We start from the raw sequence: 17,907 nt of genomic DNA, 5'->3' as shown, positions 1-17,907 counted from the left end.
GCACTGAGAAGGCTGTTGAATGAGGAAGGATTAGATACATATTTTATGAAGGTCATCTTTATAACAATACATAGGCTGAGTTAAGATACTGGATTTGAATTATTGAACATTACTGGGTATCACAAAATAAAAGTAATGCTTCTGGGGGACTTTACTAAAAATACAAATTCTCATTTATATTTGTATTTGTATTGTAGTTCAAGGTTGGAACTCAGAAGTGTATATTTTAACATTGGTGGCCTTTGATAACATTGTAAAGGAAAGACAAGTTAAAGTGAACCAACAAATAAAGAGACTGTGGAAAGTATCCCTATGGAATGTAGAAAGGATCTTAAGTGGGACTAGCTGTGGAAATGTAAGGATCGAGTTTTGAAATTATTGTAAAGGTATAAGTAGAATAAATTGCTGACTAATCCAGAAAATAGGCGTTAGTGAGGATAATTCAGAGGTTTGGACTCTGAGTACTAATGATACTACTCAAATGGAAAATCTTGAAAGGACAAAATTACTAAAAATTAAAGAACAACAACAAAATCTTGAGTTCAGCCTGGCATTTCTGAACTCTAAGGGCTTTGCAATGAAAACAGTTGATAGAGCTGGTTCAGGAGATGGATAGAGATGGATTTATTAGACCTTGGCGTAAAGATGACAGTTGAACTATGGGAAAATGGATTACCTCACCAATGAAAAAAATGCTTTTGAGAAAGTGATTTAAGGTCCCTTGTGGGCTGACTTACCACATTTTGGGTGAACAGAGAATGATGAGTCAAGAAAAGAAATTGAAAAGGCCAATCAAGAAAGAGAAGCATTAGGATGGGCACAGTAGCTCACGTTTTTAATCCTAGCACTTTGGGAAGCTGAGACAGGAAGATTACTTAAGGCCAGGAGTTTGAGACCTGCCTTAAGGTCTCAGGCAACATAGTGAGACCCTGTTTCTACAATAAAAATAAAAATTAAAAATAAAAGTAAGATAAAATAATAAATAAAAAGACCATGAAAGAGTGCACTTGAGGGTTTACAATGAACTCCCATAGGAGTTTGAGAGGTAGGCACTGTAATTTTATGCAAACTAGGAAAAATGATTATGTGGTTTTTCCAAGGGCAAATGGATAATATATATGAGCTGCCCAAATGTTAAGTAACCTCCTAGCTGTTAGTCTAACATGCTTTCCTTTAGGGAATGTTGAAAATACATCAGTGCCCTAATGACAGAGTGTAGCACTATTCCTATATCAAGTAATTTCAAAATACCAAATATCAAAATAAACAGGATTCTTGCTGCATAGATGATTACTAAAATAATAATCACTTGCATATGCCATTGGCTGCTTCTGTATTACAGGTGGAATTAGGCATTGCCTTAAATGTTTTTTCAGCGAGAATAAGGAGATTTCTAGGTAGAATAGAACTTTATTTACTTTGTTGAGATCTCTAGTGAAAAAGAGTAGTTTTAAATGAACATGTCCTAACTATTCCTCTGCCATTAATATTCAGAAAACTAGAAATTCTCTTCATTCATCCCCAGGAGAAGTAATTTTTAGTAGTTTTATACTTGCAGATAATTCTGTGTGTTGCTTTGAAGAATAGTTGTATGGGGATATGAATTGGAAAAATGTCAGAAGGCTAGAAAACATTTCGTTTTTTTAAGGTAACATTTCTCTTTCATTTTCTAATATGAAAAAATAAAATAGATCTGCCTTACGTTCAGAGTTTATTCTTTTTACACGATATTATTAAGCTGATATTTTAAATAAATTGTTTGCCCTACTCTTATGATAACATTTAGATAGACTTTCTTTTTTCATTTAATGTAGTTCACGCTAAATGAGAAAAGAAAAAGGTTTTTTAGAACAGTCAGTAGGCAACTCAGTGATATGGTCACATCCTTTCCATGACTTCAACTTTCCTAGTATCGTCCCAGTTGCAAGAACAGCAATACAATAGTTCCCCCTTATCCACGAGGATATGTTCCAAGACGCCCAGGGGATGCCTGAAACCCCTGATAGTACCAAGCCCTGTATATACTGTTTTTTTCCTACACATGCATAGCTATGATACAATTTAATTTAAAATTAGGCACAGTAAGAGACTAACATGAGCTAATAATCAAAACAATTATAACAATATACTATAATGAAAGTTATGTAAATGTGGTCTCTCTCAAAATATCTTCTTGTACTGTACTCACGTGTCTTCTTGTGATGATGTTAGATGGTACAATGTCTACGTGATTAGATAAAGTGAGGGGAATGATGTAGTGTTAGGCTTCCACATCAAGGCTACTTGAACATGAGCACTGCAATAACCTGACAGTCGATCTGGTGACCCAGATGGCACCTAAGTGACTAGTGGGCTAGTAGCATATACAGCACGGATACACTGGGCGATTTATATCCCAGACAATCTGAGGCAGGATGGCACAAAATTTCATCACTTGACTCAGAACAGCTGCACAACTTAAAATTTATGAATTATTTATTTCTGGAATTTTCTATTTTTTCTTTCTTCTTTTTTTTCACTTAATATTTTCAGACCAAGGTTGACCACAGGTAACTGAAACCATGGGAAAGCAAAAGCACAGATTAAGAGGGACTACTGTATACAGCTGTGTTGGGATTTAGTGACTACATTAATCTTTTCAAGCTGATTTATTTGACTGCGAAACATCAATGGTCTACACTGGTCTACATCACTAAGTAGTGCTGGTCAAAAAAAATTAAATTTTTTTCAGGTTACATGGATATCACAATGGGACATTTGGGTATTTTCTAAAAAATGTGATTCTCTACACAGGATACTGGTGATCCAGAGAGTTTCCAAGAAGTCAGATAAATTTTGTCAGTACAGACACAAAGTGAAAGATTAGCTATTATTATGTTTAAGATTGTAAGCCTTGTATTCAGTTATCCAAAAAAAATTTTGGGTTTTAAAACTGCAGGACTCTCCTGCATGATCTCCCTTGCCTTTGGTGGTAAATCAACTCAAATGAGATTTGAATAAATGAAGTGGAATCTCTGCATGTGCATGTGAGGGAAAGAAATTGATAGTGATTACAAGTGCTAGAGAAGATTTCATTGAGTGTGAATGAATATTTAGCTACATGGCAATTATATGAGTATTGTGGAGACTTGAAATGTAGTAGCAGGAATTCAAAGAAGGCAAGTTGTTTGGCTCAAAAAATAAATCAAAAGAATTTATTGAAACCATCAACAGAGAAATTGTTTAGTTAAGCTGAATGGGAGTAAATTCATGCTTTTAATATTTAAAGTCACACTGATAAGCACATCCATGCTATATAAAAAATTATGTAAATAACATGTTTCCTCATTTTGCTATGACTACACTGACTTGTTTGAGTACTGTCTAGCCAATTTTTCCATCAGTTTTTTTATATCTTTCATTCTCATTTTAATACTTCATTGTGAACATCAGTGAACACTTCTTTTTTTTGCCTATCTAGTATAAACTGCTTTTTATTTTGTTTTTCTGATTTATTCTGAAATATTTTTCAATCTTTTATTCTTATAAATTATGTTTTTCATGTTTTGTTTTCTCACCTTCAAAGTGGCTTCAATGTGACTAATAACAGGATGTTTAAAATATTCAACAAAATTTAGCAGTAAAGTAGTTACACAGGCATTATAGGCACACTTAATTATGAAAACTGGTAGATGTTCAAAACACTTGGAAAGTTGAGGTTAGGGAAGAAGAGGAAGAAGGACAGAAACATCTAGTTTTATGGCGGGTGGTGAGTAGTGTGGAATAAGGGAGAAAGCTGCTAATTTGTTGGAAAACTTCATTCCTGTTCCATTTGTGCTGCCAATACGCAGTATTCCCTAAAACATATCACCACACTTCTTTCTTAGTTTTCTCATCTTGATTAATGAAGAGGTCAACTTTAAGATCCCTTTCACCTCTAAAATTTTATGATCTATGGCAAATGAGTAACTATGCATATATAACAAAATCTTACTGGGCACCTGTTTTGCATGGGGCTTAACTGGTTTTCTTTAGTTGCTGATGCTGTCAACGAGAAGATTTAGAGTCTACTCTAAATAATTTAGTGACTACTAGTTAGGCTTGGAACTGTTGACCGCATATTGAGAGTGCACCAAGAAATAATGATGTTGAGTTATATCAATGGTGAAGCCAGCATTATCAAGAGTGTCTCATTAAATGGTGGCAATATCAATTATTATTCAATATAATGCTATGAGTTAAAGGGTCCCTTCCTAAGAGATTACAGAGTATGAATATGTTAACAATATGGGCCATTACTTGACTTACATCTCTACTCTTTGAACAGATCGTTAGGCCACATGCATGCTAAGTGAAGTAATTACTGCACCCTTCAGTCTATTACAGGGTGAAACTGTTAAACATTTCATCAGGAAATTGCAAAGTACAGCTGTAAAGTTCTTTATTGTTGGGAAGCCTTCATTGCTATAGTACGTACTAGGTATTTGCCACCAGCTTGTAAAATCTACATGCCAAGTTTCACAGTAACCTCATTAACATTAAGCATTACTGAAACAATTTAGTGGAACAGAGCATTTAGGAGGTGATAATAAGGAAAACAGGCCCGATGTTTTCATGAAGAAGTCTGCCTATGCCATTTCTACTATTGTTGAGATCTGTTTATGACACTAAAAAAAAAATCTTCTCCTTTAAGGATGTATGTCTTTCTTTAGTCTTTAACTGTTTAAAACATATTAGGCTGGTGCAAAAGTAATTGCGGTTTTAATAAAATACACATAGACTGATTACATTTTCTTTTCAGGAGTGTTTGGAATGACTTGAAAGCTGCAGCAGGTAGATGTTGTTCAAATGATTAAGCCCACTGAAATTCATCTCCAAAGACAGGATTTGTGAAACTAAAAGGGAGAAGGTTGAGGAGACAGACGGTGTTTATAGTGCATTTAAAACCTCAGCATTAACTTTAAAACAGGAGGACTTAAGGCCTTGGCAGCATCCCAGAACCAAACTATTTTCCATTGATTGGTATGAATCATTTTCTCTCCTTGGCGTCTGTACTTTTTCCACCATACACACCACTTAAGTACCAACAAATCTGCAATTGACCTTTTCACAGCTCTATGCTGAGATGCCTACCAAGGTGTTTCTAATCCTTGTCAATTTCTTTCCAGACAGAGCTTTTTGTACATGCCTTCAAGGATCAACTTGTCAGGAGTGCTCTTTTAGCACTCTACACTGCAAGGCCAGGAGGCATTCTTAAGAAGCCACCCTCTCCTAAGAGCAGCACAGAGGAGAGCAGTCCCCAAGACCAACCCCCAGTGATGAGAGGGCAGGACTCCATACCACATCATTCAGACTATGATGAGGAAGAGTGGGTAAGTCTCTTGTATATCGCTTGCCTCTCAATGTTTGGCAATGAGAAATAAGGTAGGAATGATCAGATAGCTCTGCTTTCCATTTTAAAAAATGGAAAAAAAGTTATAACACTGATTGTGGATAAATAGGCCACATTTTTCCTTAGGGGCAATTTTTTTTTGGAAGTTGAAATCCTGATAAAATTTATTTGCTAGCCAATGAATTATATGTTTAAGTGAGAATCTGTCATCCAAGTAAAGATGCCACAGTTACAAGACTCTTATGTTTCCTTATTTATTGCCAAACTATATAAAACATGAAAGTTATTTTTTAGAAAAAGAATAAAAAACCCTCCATGTTACTACTACTTAGATGCAACAAGTATTTTCATTGTTGCAATCCAGTGTTTTGGTTCTGGAAGTACTTTTTAAAAGTATTCACATTTAAACGACAATAGACATAGATATCTCGCAAATCCCTCTCGCTCAAGGTTCTATAATGTAAGATGCTGCTCTAGGTGCTCTAAAGTTTACAGAAGAATGGCCTCATAAAATGATACGAAAAAATAGCTAGGAAACATGAATAAACAAAGGAAATAAATATGGTGAGAGAAATTCTAGTTGGGCCGAATATGATGGGAGAAACGTGAAGGTGTACCATGGCAGAGGAACAGGGTGTTATTACTGAATCGATACATATAAATTATTCAAGAATTCTCCAAAGTATATGCATATTACACACACACACAAAGGGAAATCTATTACTGTATCATATGTTTAACAAAAAAAATAGTGTGCTAGCTGTATTAGATGTTAAGCTTTTAGTTAACAATTACTTTTCTTGCCACCCTAGAATTTAAGAATGGGGAGTAAATTACTTGAAAGGCACAGGCCTCTCAAAAAAAAAAATGTTATCTGAAAGGCTGTGAGGTGATGCCTGCTTTTTCTTTTGGTAAAATTTCTATCACAAAAATGACAGAGGTGGGCTCCAAGAGGTAAATGCTGAGTGTTTGTCGTTGGTGATTAAAATTGCATTTCTCCCAATGAAGCATTTTCAAAGAGCAAATCTAATATTTCTTTCTCCCTTTTACCTTCACCTTCTTCACTTTTTTTTTTTCACAGTTCCAAGTGTACACACCTCTTAACCTCTGAAGTTCAATTTTCTCAACTGTAAAATGAAAATAACAGCACGTGTTCTGTTAGCTCTTAGAGTGGTCATGAAATCAATGATTTACCATGTTACAATGCTCCATTTCCTGGAAATGCCAAGGCAAATGCATTATATTACTTTAGTATTATTGTTATATGTTTCTTAAGTAATATAAATTATATAATCTTATTAAGAAGATTAATACTATCCCTTGAGATAAGTGGGGAAATTAGATATGTCATACAATGTGGATTGTGAATTTTGAAGAGTTCGAGTGTATACAGAAAAGAAGATATATTTTATTTAATAAACATCCAGTGTTGACCTTTTGACAAATAATTACCATTTTATATTAAATCAAGTGAGAATCTTGGAATTTTTCCCCCTCATTTTAACTCACTATGTTTTACAAACCCTTCCCCCTCACCTTGACCCCCTCTTCCTGTTGAAAATAGTCCCTCTCCTTCCTTGTTTCCTTTTCTTTAGATAATTTTTGAAACCTTTTATTAAGTATTTCAAGTGGGAAGGTAAGTAATGTTAGATCCTTAGTTCTTGGAGCTCAGAGTCTAGTGATAGATAAAAATATGTAAACAAATAGTTACAACATTTTGCAACAAAGCTTAGAAAGAAACATGATAGAAGACAGTTTCTGCTAATATGACTTCAACTCAAAATTTTACGTCCAGAACTGTCTTATGATGGGCAAAGACGGAAGAAAGTGGGGACTGTATCATTAGTTGAGAAGGTTTACAGAGCACTATTCCCTTCAGTCAGTGTTACTGAGTACCTGTTCTGCCTTATTCACTGTGCCACATGCTGGGGACAGCAGGTGAACAACGTTGGCCCTCAGTTACTCCACAGCCTATTCAGGGCTGTAGAAAGACAAATAGCAATCGCAGTGCAGCCTTAGAGATGTACATGGGATACAGCAAGAATGTGGTAGCCATAGTGGTGTTGCCAGAAGTAATTCTGGAGATTTAAATCTGAGTATAAGTTAATCATTCAAGAAAGAAGATGTGGTGCCCTTTTAGATGGAGCATAATAGCTGACATACAGAGAGAGGTAGTTAGTGTGTGTGTTTGTGCCTGTGATTATTATTAGTTATTTACATGTTTTGTTTTAAAGTGAGTGAAATTTGAGCATGTTATATTCCAAAGGCTATGTGAGAGGCACAGAGGTGATAACTGATGGAGCAAGGTCCTTACAAGAGAAGGAAGAAAGTCAACGGTAGGGTCCAGGTGGAAGAGCAGGCACTTCTCCTGAGACTGCAGGGAGGATGTGAAGATGTGAGGGTGGGTGGGGCTGGATGGCTGCTTTTATCCATAAAGTAGAACCATGTGCTAAGAGAAAAAGACGGGGAGGACTGGAGGGAGTGGTGAAGGTTTCAAATAGGCACCGAAGAAATGAGTACTTGAGCTAATGAGTAACGTGAAAAATTTGAGAATAATTCCAGGCTTTGTGATGGGCCAGCCAAGGCTGGAGTATCAGGTGGCATGGTTGTTTGTTTAGCATTCATTATTCTTTTGGGAATATTTTCTAGTCTTAACACCAGGAAAAAAGTCTTTCTGATTCTTTTCTCCAGTTGATGAAAAGCTGTCATCTCAGTTTCTCTTGTTGTCCTTCAAAGGCAAAAGGATTGGGCAATAATGAAGGGCTGCATTGCTCTCTGCATCTCCTTAATGTCATTTCTAAGCCTCCTTCTGAACTCATTGTTTCTGGAAAGCATATACAAGCTTTGCCTAAATTTACCATAATTACAAGAAAAATCTTTCCCACTCAGAAAAGTTACTTCTAATTCTCTCCTTCTAATATAATTTTACTCTTTTTGCAAACAAGAACCGAGTTTGTTTGGTATATAACATTTTCATTGATTTTCCTTAGCAACCGCTTTCTACTGAAAACATTCCTTCATCAGAGGATAGAAATCCCTTATAAAAAGATAGAAACAATATTTCACCAGAGTCATAAACACTAACATTATTCTCAAAGCTTTATCTAACTTTGATAAATTGAGTAAAACTAAAGAAAATGTAGCTAATTGAAGATGCCTTTAGAGACTGTGGTATTAAATGAATTAGAAACATAACTTTGTATACTCCCTTTTTTAATTAGTTGTTAGAAAAGTTTCAGTGCTGATTACAAGTCTAGTCAATGCTGGTAGTAACTCAGCATTTTAAATTAATTCAATTGGGTTTCTGTGATATTATGTGAAGATATTCCCTGATCACTTAAATTGGCTTACGTTTGCAAATAAGGTTACAGTAATTCCATTAAGCATTTTTTGTTTGTTTTACTTAATTTCTGATAGTGACTGTAATAATTACCTGACTTGAACAACTGTATTTAGCTTCTTATAATAAGTATTTGGGAAGCAAATAAATGGTGTTAGATTACACTTAAATCCTACCCGGCTGATGCAGGTAAGAACCATTCTTTTGAAGTCAAAAAAGAGAATCCTGCTCACTCTAAATCACTATGAGGCTGTCCTTTCTCTTTTCAACTTGTTTTGTTGACAAAATTGATGGCATATGAATCTGGATAATAATCATCTAGTCAATATGGTAAAGATTGAAACTAAAATGAATGTTTACAAAAAAGTCTGTTATTTGCTGAATTTTACTTATTAAATAATGGAATGCTTTAAGGGTTTATTTTCCTGAAAAGCTAGTAAACAATTAAACCCCAAAGGAATATTTGGGATTGTATAACAATCTGTGCCAAGGAATAGACTAACATACCATTCTCTTTTAGCCAGTTAAGATGACATATTACTTTTCTTTCTCTACATCTCTGCAACAGATGCTTCCAGCAGCTGGGATTCCAAGATTAGTTTGTCCAAAATGTGAAAGCATGTCATTTAACCAAACTATTAAGTTGACCTAGTTTTTGTGGTTTCTAATAATTCTGAAATTCTGTGGAACACTGTGATTTAATTTCAAAATTACTATAGTGATAGGTTAAGGGCTAAATCTGCCTACTTCTATTCAAATCAATTGTTAAAAAAGAAACTTCTGATCCTTTATATTCTGATCCATTCTAGCAAACTGCAAAACTAGAAAAACAATTCTTAGTATTTAGACAGACACAAAACCCATTTTTAATTGATCTACATTTCTGCATCAAGCGGCATTTCAGCATCCAAATTATCCAATTAATTCCCTTCATGTTACAAATATAAGCCAAATTTAAAATTTTAGTCTTCTTTCTTAAGCTAGGCAAACATTTGCTATTTCATATTATGTTAAATGTGTTTATGTTACATAAACACAATGGATGATCCATCCATATTAATTTTTCAATAATTTTATAGACTTTAGAAACAATAGCACAAATTCATAGTCATATTTATGTAAAACATCCTATTAATAGACTCCATAGATAACCTAAAAATCTGTGGCCATTCTGTAACTCAATACTACCAAAGATTATGTTTGGGAATAAGATTTATATGAACCATCTTCTGATATATTCCTTACAAATTTTATACAGTTCATTTTGTACTATACCTTTCTCTAATGATGCCTACAGCAGATGTGAATGCTTAACCCATTTATGCCTGAGGCTGCAATTTTTTGAATTTCTGCATGAGTGAAAAATCAGACCTTGGCGATGACCTTGAGCAGTAGGATATAAATAACTGCATGCTTAGCATTCCAATAATGGAACACTAGGCATAAGGGGGCCAAGCTTGACAGGAGCATTGAAGAGCTATTTATACTACCATAATTGGTAGCAGTGAGCATAGACAGTTGCAAGCATTGTTAACTGTTGAGAACAAAACATGTTTAGCCAGGTATCTCCATAGGAAATCTATAGTGATCTATATTCCCAACTTCTCTTGTCCAACTACTCTGTCCATCTTAGAAAACATTACGTCTACAGAAAAACATTGAGACCATGCATAATGCAGAGGTACCTGTGAAAATTAATATTCAAAAGATTTTGTTCAGTTATCTGATTGGCTAGATGTGATTTAAAACCATTGTCCTGATCTTAATAAGAAGGAGATAGATAATTCTCATTCTTTAGAAGTAACAAATTTTTATAGACTCCTTGATATTAATCTATGATTAAACTTTTTCAAAGCAACACCTTATAGCTTGGTTACCTAAATGAGTATTATGTCTACTAAAATATGGCCATTTACTTCCAAATTTTGTAAGTGATAGATGCATATATATGTGTGTATATATATTAATATATGTATATATATATATCCAACTTCAAATCATTTTGTATAATAAAGCCTTATTCTTATATTACAGGAGCACATAGCCTAGTGAACACTGATTATAATCAGTTGTTTATATGTCTGTTTTCTCCATGTGTTCATGAACTTTATAAGCTTTGATAGGAAAAAAACAATGTCTCATTCACTGTTGCATTCACACAGTTAGTGGAGCATGTGAACACGAAAGGTACTCAATACACATTTATAGAATAGATTAATGTCTTTGAAATTTGTCTGCAGATTATTTTGATTTGTCTTCTTATTTTGAAACAGAGAATATTTCAACTTAATATAATTCTGCACTATGTCCAGTAGCTTTTCTCCCACTATAATTCATGAGTCCTTTTGAGGATTTTGTTTCTCCCCTTCAGTGAAGAGTACCCAGCTATGTCCTTCTCTTCTTGGTTCTTACTTCCCAGTGTCTTAATCAACTCTAAGATGACTATTCTAGCCATCTGCAAAATATCCCCCTCTCCCTAGTGCATATTTCCTAGTGTCTTAATCAACTCTGTAGTGACTATTTAAGTCATCTTCAAAATATCTTCAAATATAGAAAGTGGTAAAATTCAAGATAGACACAGAAAATCAGTGATGACCAAAGCTAAGGTCATGACTAATGAAGGCCTTCAGAAGCCTCTAGAAACCAGTGATGGCAACTTTATTTAATTATTAATGTGCAGATTACAAAGGTTCTAGTTACACAGAAATAATTTCTTCAGATGTTTCCCAGCAAATATAAATTGAAAGTGACTAGTTGTCCCTTGTCCCAGGTTTTTCTTTTTTTTTTTATCCCTAAGTCACACATAATAGGGTTGTATGGTTCTGTTAATCTTAAAAGGAGGAGGGAACACTCAAAGCATTCACTCTCACCATCAGAAAGGGCAGTCAAAGGCAGGGAGAATGGGGCCAGTTGTTCCCTATATGGCAACTGAATGTGTTCTATCCTCTGTTTTCTTGATGGATGGGAAACATTCCTGAACTTCTCCAGTCTATATCACCCAAGAGAAATGTGCTTTGAATACTTATCCAATATTAAGGTCCACAAAGGGTGATTAAGCAAAGTTCATGACTGGTCCATTAAAATGCACAAATGTTCTATTAAAGAAAAGAAACCCCAGGTGAAATCTTTATGTGCATGCATATTCATGAAATCTTGCCAATTTCTAGATTTTCCCACATGCAGTTAATATTTTCACCTATAAAACCCTGTTTTATAACACCTAACACATCTTATACATCCTAGCTCAATGTCTTTTTCAGAGTTAATGTAGGAATAAGTGAATGGATAGACTTGCTGATATCAACAGCTCATCCTCCAATTCAAACCTGTATTTTAATAGATATTTTACTTCTATTAATGTAATGAAATAATGTAATGATTATGTAAAATAATGTAATGATTTTCCTGCAGTTCTGTATTGGATACCATCATCTCCCTTGGATATTTTCTAGACATTTATAATGCCTGGTTCAAAATCAGGTATTTTGATGTGCCTGTGTATAATGAATATACAAACTTGCATACATACACATTAGAAATGTATTATTACATTCAAATCAAGTGCCCTCAAACTTTAATATATTCTATTTTGAATAATGAGATATTGTTTCCCAAACAGAAAGTTTTTTAACTCCAAAATTTAGTGAATAAGTGAAGGAAACACTATGGTAAATATAGGTAGACTGTTGGCTTGATTTATCAAGGTTCATACAATTAAAAAGAATTGGTGTTTGAAAATGGTTGTGCACAACACACTAACTGATAATGTCATACAATTCAGCCAGTTGTGCAAGTATCTAATAGTGTGCAGATAACATCCAATTACCAATTTAAAGTTAAAAGCTTTAGTCAATCAGTGGAATTTTTTCACTTATTAAATGTTTTATTTAATATTTGCACTGAATTGAAAGCTTTAGCATGATGTGGCATTTATTAGGTTGAATGCAGCCATTCAGAGTAGGAACTTGGTTATAAATTCAATTTGAAGATGCATGTAATGAGAACTTCTTATAGTATAGTTTTTTTTTACTACCAAATAACAGATTAGTAAGTCAGTCAATAGATATTCAATAAGTATAAACAGTGTGCAACAGTGGTATAGGCACTTATATGAAACCTGACCTTAACAGTCATATCATCTCATTTAAGTAAGATGACTAGCACTCATAAAATGAGCAGAGGTATTGAAAGATATTCTAAGGATGCAGGTGGTTGTGTGATACACATTAAAAATGCCAAGCCAAGTGTGGTGGCAGACACCTTGTCGTCCCTGCTACTTGGGAGGCTGAGGCAGGAAGATTGCTTAAGCCTAGGTGTTTGAGGTTGCAGTGAGCTATGATCACCCCACTGCACTCTGGTCTGGGCAACAGAAGATCTTATCTCTAAAAATAAAAGAAAGAAGAAGAAATTTTGAAATTTAAAAACGCCCAAAATTTTCAGAGTCGTTATGTGACAGTCGGAAAAGATGGAAGAATTATCCTCTTTTTCTTTCTTTTATTCCTGTATCCATTCTTCTTTTATGCATCTATTTCCTCTCTAGGACTAAGACATGAGAATGAAAGGATTAAAAAATAATAGTCATTACATTTATAGAGCACACAGTCTATTAAAAAGAAAAAAAAGTGCCGGGTGCGGTGACTCACGCCTGTAATCCCAGCACTTTGGGAGGCCCAGGCGGGTGGATCATGAGCTCAGGAGATCGAGACCATCCTGGCTAACACGGTGAAACTCCGTCTCTACTAAAAATACAAAAAAATTAGCCGGGTGTGGTGGTGGGCGCCTGTAGTCCCAGCTACTCCGGGAGGCTGAGGCAGGAGAATGGCATGAACCCGGGAGGCGGAGCTTGCAGTGAGCCGAGATTGTGGCACTGCACTCCAGCCTGGGGGACAGAGCGAGACTCCGTCAAAAAAAAAAAAAAAAAAAAAAAAAAAGAAAAGACAAAAAAGCATGTTAGGCAGAGAGAAGCATGAAACATTCTTGGAGATGGTGAGATTTGAAAGGGCAAGAATTTAGATTGATGGAAGATAACGGAGAAAGTATTCTAGGTATAAAAGTCAACATGTTTCAAGATATTGGAAATAATAGATCTTCCAAGGTTTCCTTCAAATCTTTGATGTTCAGCGCTGAGCCGGCATATAGCAGATGCCTAGTAAATATATGTTGATTTAATGCAACAGCATGTTTCTAAGACTGCAAGAAGACATCTGGATAAAGGTTTCATTTTGAAGACTAATGAGACATAAGAATTATCTAGGTCTACCCAACTATAGATGTGCCTCCAGGCTGAGAGAAGAATGTAATATTGGCTATAGTACTGAGCCTGCTTTTGATTAGAAATAATCAAAAGAGGAGGGTGATCAATGAAGATTAATGTGGCACTCATAGATAGACCTGATTTTGTGATAGCCTATAATATAGGTCTGGGAAAAATCCAAGCCAGGGGAATATGGAGAGGTCAAAATTGGAGAAACAGTGGTTAATTGTTACAAGGAATTCCTTTCCCAGATAAGGCCAGGAGTGAATTTTAAACTGAGTGTAGTTATTGGGAGATGAAGGTCAGGTATTTTTACATAAGGAAATAGGTGAAGTTAAAGCAGGAGGACCAATAGGAAGCAAAGATCAGGGAATCTCATCTGGTGGATGTTTACATGTCTGGCTATTTTTAGTGAATGTGTGTGTGTGTTGATGTGTGGATGTTGATATGTGGTGTGTGTGTGTGAAAGAAAGAGATACCGTGGGCTATACACGTGCCAGTTTGAAACATACAATATTTTAAGTGCAACTCAATTTACCTAACAGTCTGGATGAAGGGTTCAGGGAGAAAAGCTATCCAGCTCTTGAAAGAATAAAGGTTTGCAGTATTACAGACCTTGGCCAGTATAGAGCATATTGCTGTCAATCAAAATCAAGGATAAATGGAAGCTCCTTTTTAAAGATGGAATTGGCCTTGTTAATTCACTGACTGTTTCTAATCAAAGTCCTCAGAAATTGATAATGACAAGTGAGAAATTATTCATGGAAATACAGATACATCAGGCTATTTTGTACATCTATATCAGCTCTGGCTTAGTCTTCACATTCTTTCTGATCAAAAATTGGCCTTAGAAAAAGTTGGTCAGCTAAGTATTACGGAATATATTTTTTAAGTTAACTACTGCTCCAAAGCAGTCAGGATTTCTCTTGATGCTACCAAACTCACAATTGTGTGACATGCTGAGTCACCATCATGCTGCCTGCCTTCATGGCTCATCTGCCAGGTGTAATGTCCCCCTGGCGACGTCCATCAACATTTTTGCATCTACTGCCATTGGGTTTGACCTGCATGTTACCTTAGGTTGTAACCCAGAAATAAATGAGCACCTGACTCAGAGTGAAATAAATATTGCTGCTGGTTCCCCACTGACTCCATGACCTTATTGACCAGGAAAATTTTATAGCCAGTTGACCTCCAAGGAGTAGGGTTGTTGTGAAAGCTCCATGGAGGTTAAATACACCAATTTGGCTCCATTGAATAAAGATTAGACTTTAACCTGCCGATTCCCCATTACTTCCTTCATACAGTAGGGGACCTAGCAAGATAATAGCTGCTATTTCTGGGGAAAAGTCCCAGCAATCCATTTCTCTGATAGGTGGTAGTGGTTGTTTTTAATCCTCTCATGTGGCAGGGAGCTAAGCAGGATCTGGAGGGGCTGGAAGCACCACATACTGCAGCCACATTCTTATGCTACCGTTGTCTTCCCACTAATCAGCCTTTCTTCATCATGGGAGCAATCTGAAACTAATTGTGTGATTTTAGTAGAGAAGAAAGAAGAGTAGGCCCTAGCCTCATACCAGCAATCTAGGCATAAGGCATTTCCCCTGTGGACTGGCACAGTGAGTAAAAATCATCAGAATGAGAATGTATTTTTGCTGGTAACTTTCCTCTGTGTATGTTTTCACAGAGATATAATGGAAAGGGGCTTGTTTAGGAAAGAACTCAGATATTCAATGCTTCCCTTTAAAAATCTTTCTTACCCTTCTCTAGCATCGTAGTTTCAAAATAATTGACTATCATGTACTCCAGTCTTCTAGTAATTGAATTATCATCTTTCCTCCTTGTTATCTGCACCTTGCTCTATATCCTGGTCACATGAATGGATCTGGGGCCTTGAACCTGATACTCCTTTATTAATGCAGGTCACTTATGTCCTTTGTGCCAAAGTGAATGACCCTTTAACCAAGTGACTGCTCTATCCCTGCTTATAAGACACCTTTGATCTCAAACTTGAGGGTCCATGGGACGGGACCAGCCAGTTCATTTTGTAGACTTATCTCTTATCCTAGGATCCACCATTGGACTCATATTTAAGTCTCAGATAACTAAAACCTAGTCTTGCTCCTGTAAAGTGGCACACACCTCTACCTGACCCTTCCTGGGTTTCTTTATCTGTTTTTGTTTTTGTTTTTTTTTCTGCTTAGTTTGTGCTACTGTGTACCCCATTTCTGTGGAAAATCACAGTGGAAGAATCAAGTCTTTGGAGCCAAACAGAATGGAAGTTCTAGTCCATTTATACCATTTTAATGTTGAGTTTTATTAAACATCTCTTACCAGAATTCTCTTTATCTCTAAAAACTGAGTCAATAACAGTAACCTTATCTGGTGGCTTTTGAACATTAAATTAGCTAATGTGCATATACAAAGTGAATATAAACACCAGCCTTTAATCTGTCTCTGGAGTCACCTCCTTCTCTTGCTTCCTCCCTCTTTCTCTACCTGCCTTCCTTTCCTCCAACAAAAATTACTGAGAGCCAGGCCCTGTGCCATAAAACAAGAACACAGTTCTCAAATAACTCAGTCTAATATTAGAGACAGAAACACACATCAGTACCTTTAGTAACTGCTACTAAGTAGTAATAACTTCTTAGTAAAGGCCATAAAAGAGAAGGAGGCCATGACCAGCAAGGCTGAATTCTCTCACCACCAGATAGGCAGCATCTCCTCTCCAACAGACAAGGGATAGAAGGAGTCTGCTTAGGGTCTGCTGCTGAGTGTCCCCTCAAGCAAATATTTGATTATTCATAAATTATGTATTAGTAACACAGAAGAGACTGCTCAATTTCTCACCCTAATAAATATTGTGTCATCTCCTGTGTCCTCTAAACATTAATGACTAAATTTTTTTATTCTGCCTACCATATATGTAACCCTTTATGACATGCTTATTGGTTTTAGCCAATGAACATGCTTCACTACGCTCCTCAGACCAATGAAGATCTCTTTACAGGCTACAAAGGTGACTTTTCTATGAGCGAAATCTTATAACCTGAGCTGTTTGGAAAGGAAGAACAATATATACGTGTGAATGTCAAATTATCTTTTAAATACTTTTATTTTCAGGCTCTTCAGAGATGTGATTAAGAGAAGTTGTTCTATCCCTTACATTCCTTTATATAAGAAAAGCAACATGCAACGCGACTTGATCTTTGATCAAAATATAAAGTTCCCTTTGGTGCAGTGGCTCCCCACCTGTAATCCCAGCACTTTGGGAGGCTGAGGTGGGTGGATCACTTGAGCCCAGGAATTCAAGATCAGCCTGGGCAACATAGTAAAACCCCATCTCTGCAAAAACTACAAAAATTAGTTAGGCGTGGTGGGCATGCCTGTGGTCCCAGCTACTTGGGAGGCTGAGGTGGGAGGATCATTTGAACCCAGGAGATCAAGACTGCAGTGAGCCAACTGTGCCACATACATGCGCAAGTGCACACACACACACACAAACACACACACAAGTTCCTTTCAACATGGGCAACAGCAAGAGAGTTAACAACTTATGAACAAAGCTAGTCTGGAAAATTGAGGGGAACCTGCTCCCCTTTTTTTCCTCAGTAGCAGAGTTGATTTCCAGTTTTAGCTGGAGAGTTGTTTCATTTTTCAATTTAATCACCTTAAAAATGCAGTCGGTGGTAGTGATTCAGGCATATTCAAAAGAGAGGGCATGAGTTTGTTATTGTGCTCCAGAATGGAAGCTCCTCACCAAATCCCAATCCAGATGTCAAGACCATCAGGTTACTTACCCTTCCCCAGCATTTCTTCCTGGAATAAATGAGCTTCCTTAGCTCTCCTGGCTTATGGTTCAGAGGTTCCTTTACACCATTTTCTCAGACAACAGGCAGATGATGATGTGATCTATGGATGCAATTGGTGTTTAAATTTTTC

The 17,907-nt window shown here is 36.0% G+C and overlaps 1 protein-coding gene across 64 annotated transcripts in view; it reads left to right on the top strand.

Annotated features, from left to right (window-relative positions):
* INPP4B (inositol polyphosphate-4-phosphatase type II B) overlaps window positions 1–17,907 on the top strand; it is an 823,376-nt gene that overhangs the window by 680,827 nt on the left and 124,642 nt on the right. For 55 of the 64 annotated variants that reach the window (NR_169615.1, NR_169599.1, NR_169623.1 and 52 more), the window contains one exon: window positions 5,148–5,351. The exons of 8 other annotated variants lie outside the window; for them this stretch is intronic. Coding sequence is in view for 47 of the 56 variants with exons in the window: in NM_003866.3 (NP_003857.2) it covers window positions 5,148–5,351 (204 nt within the window). In the remaining 9 variants the exon portion in view is untranslated. Of the gene's footprint in view, window positions 1–4,780; window positions 5,002–5,147; window positions 5,352–17,907 lie in introns of those variants that run through there. One more of the 64 variants, XR_007057981.1, reaches the window with a different exon arrangement.

This window comes from Homo sapiens, chromosome 4 (genome assembly GCF_000001405.40).
Source record: "Homo sapiens chromosome 4, GRCh38.p14 Primary Assembly".
Lineage (NCBI taxonomy): Eukaryota > Metazoa > Chordata > Mammalia > Primates > Hominidae > Homo > Homo sapiens.
Note: the sequence above shows the minus strand (reverse complement) of the source record. Positions and strands in the feature narration are given on the sequence as shown.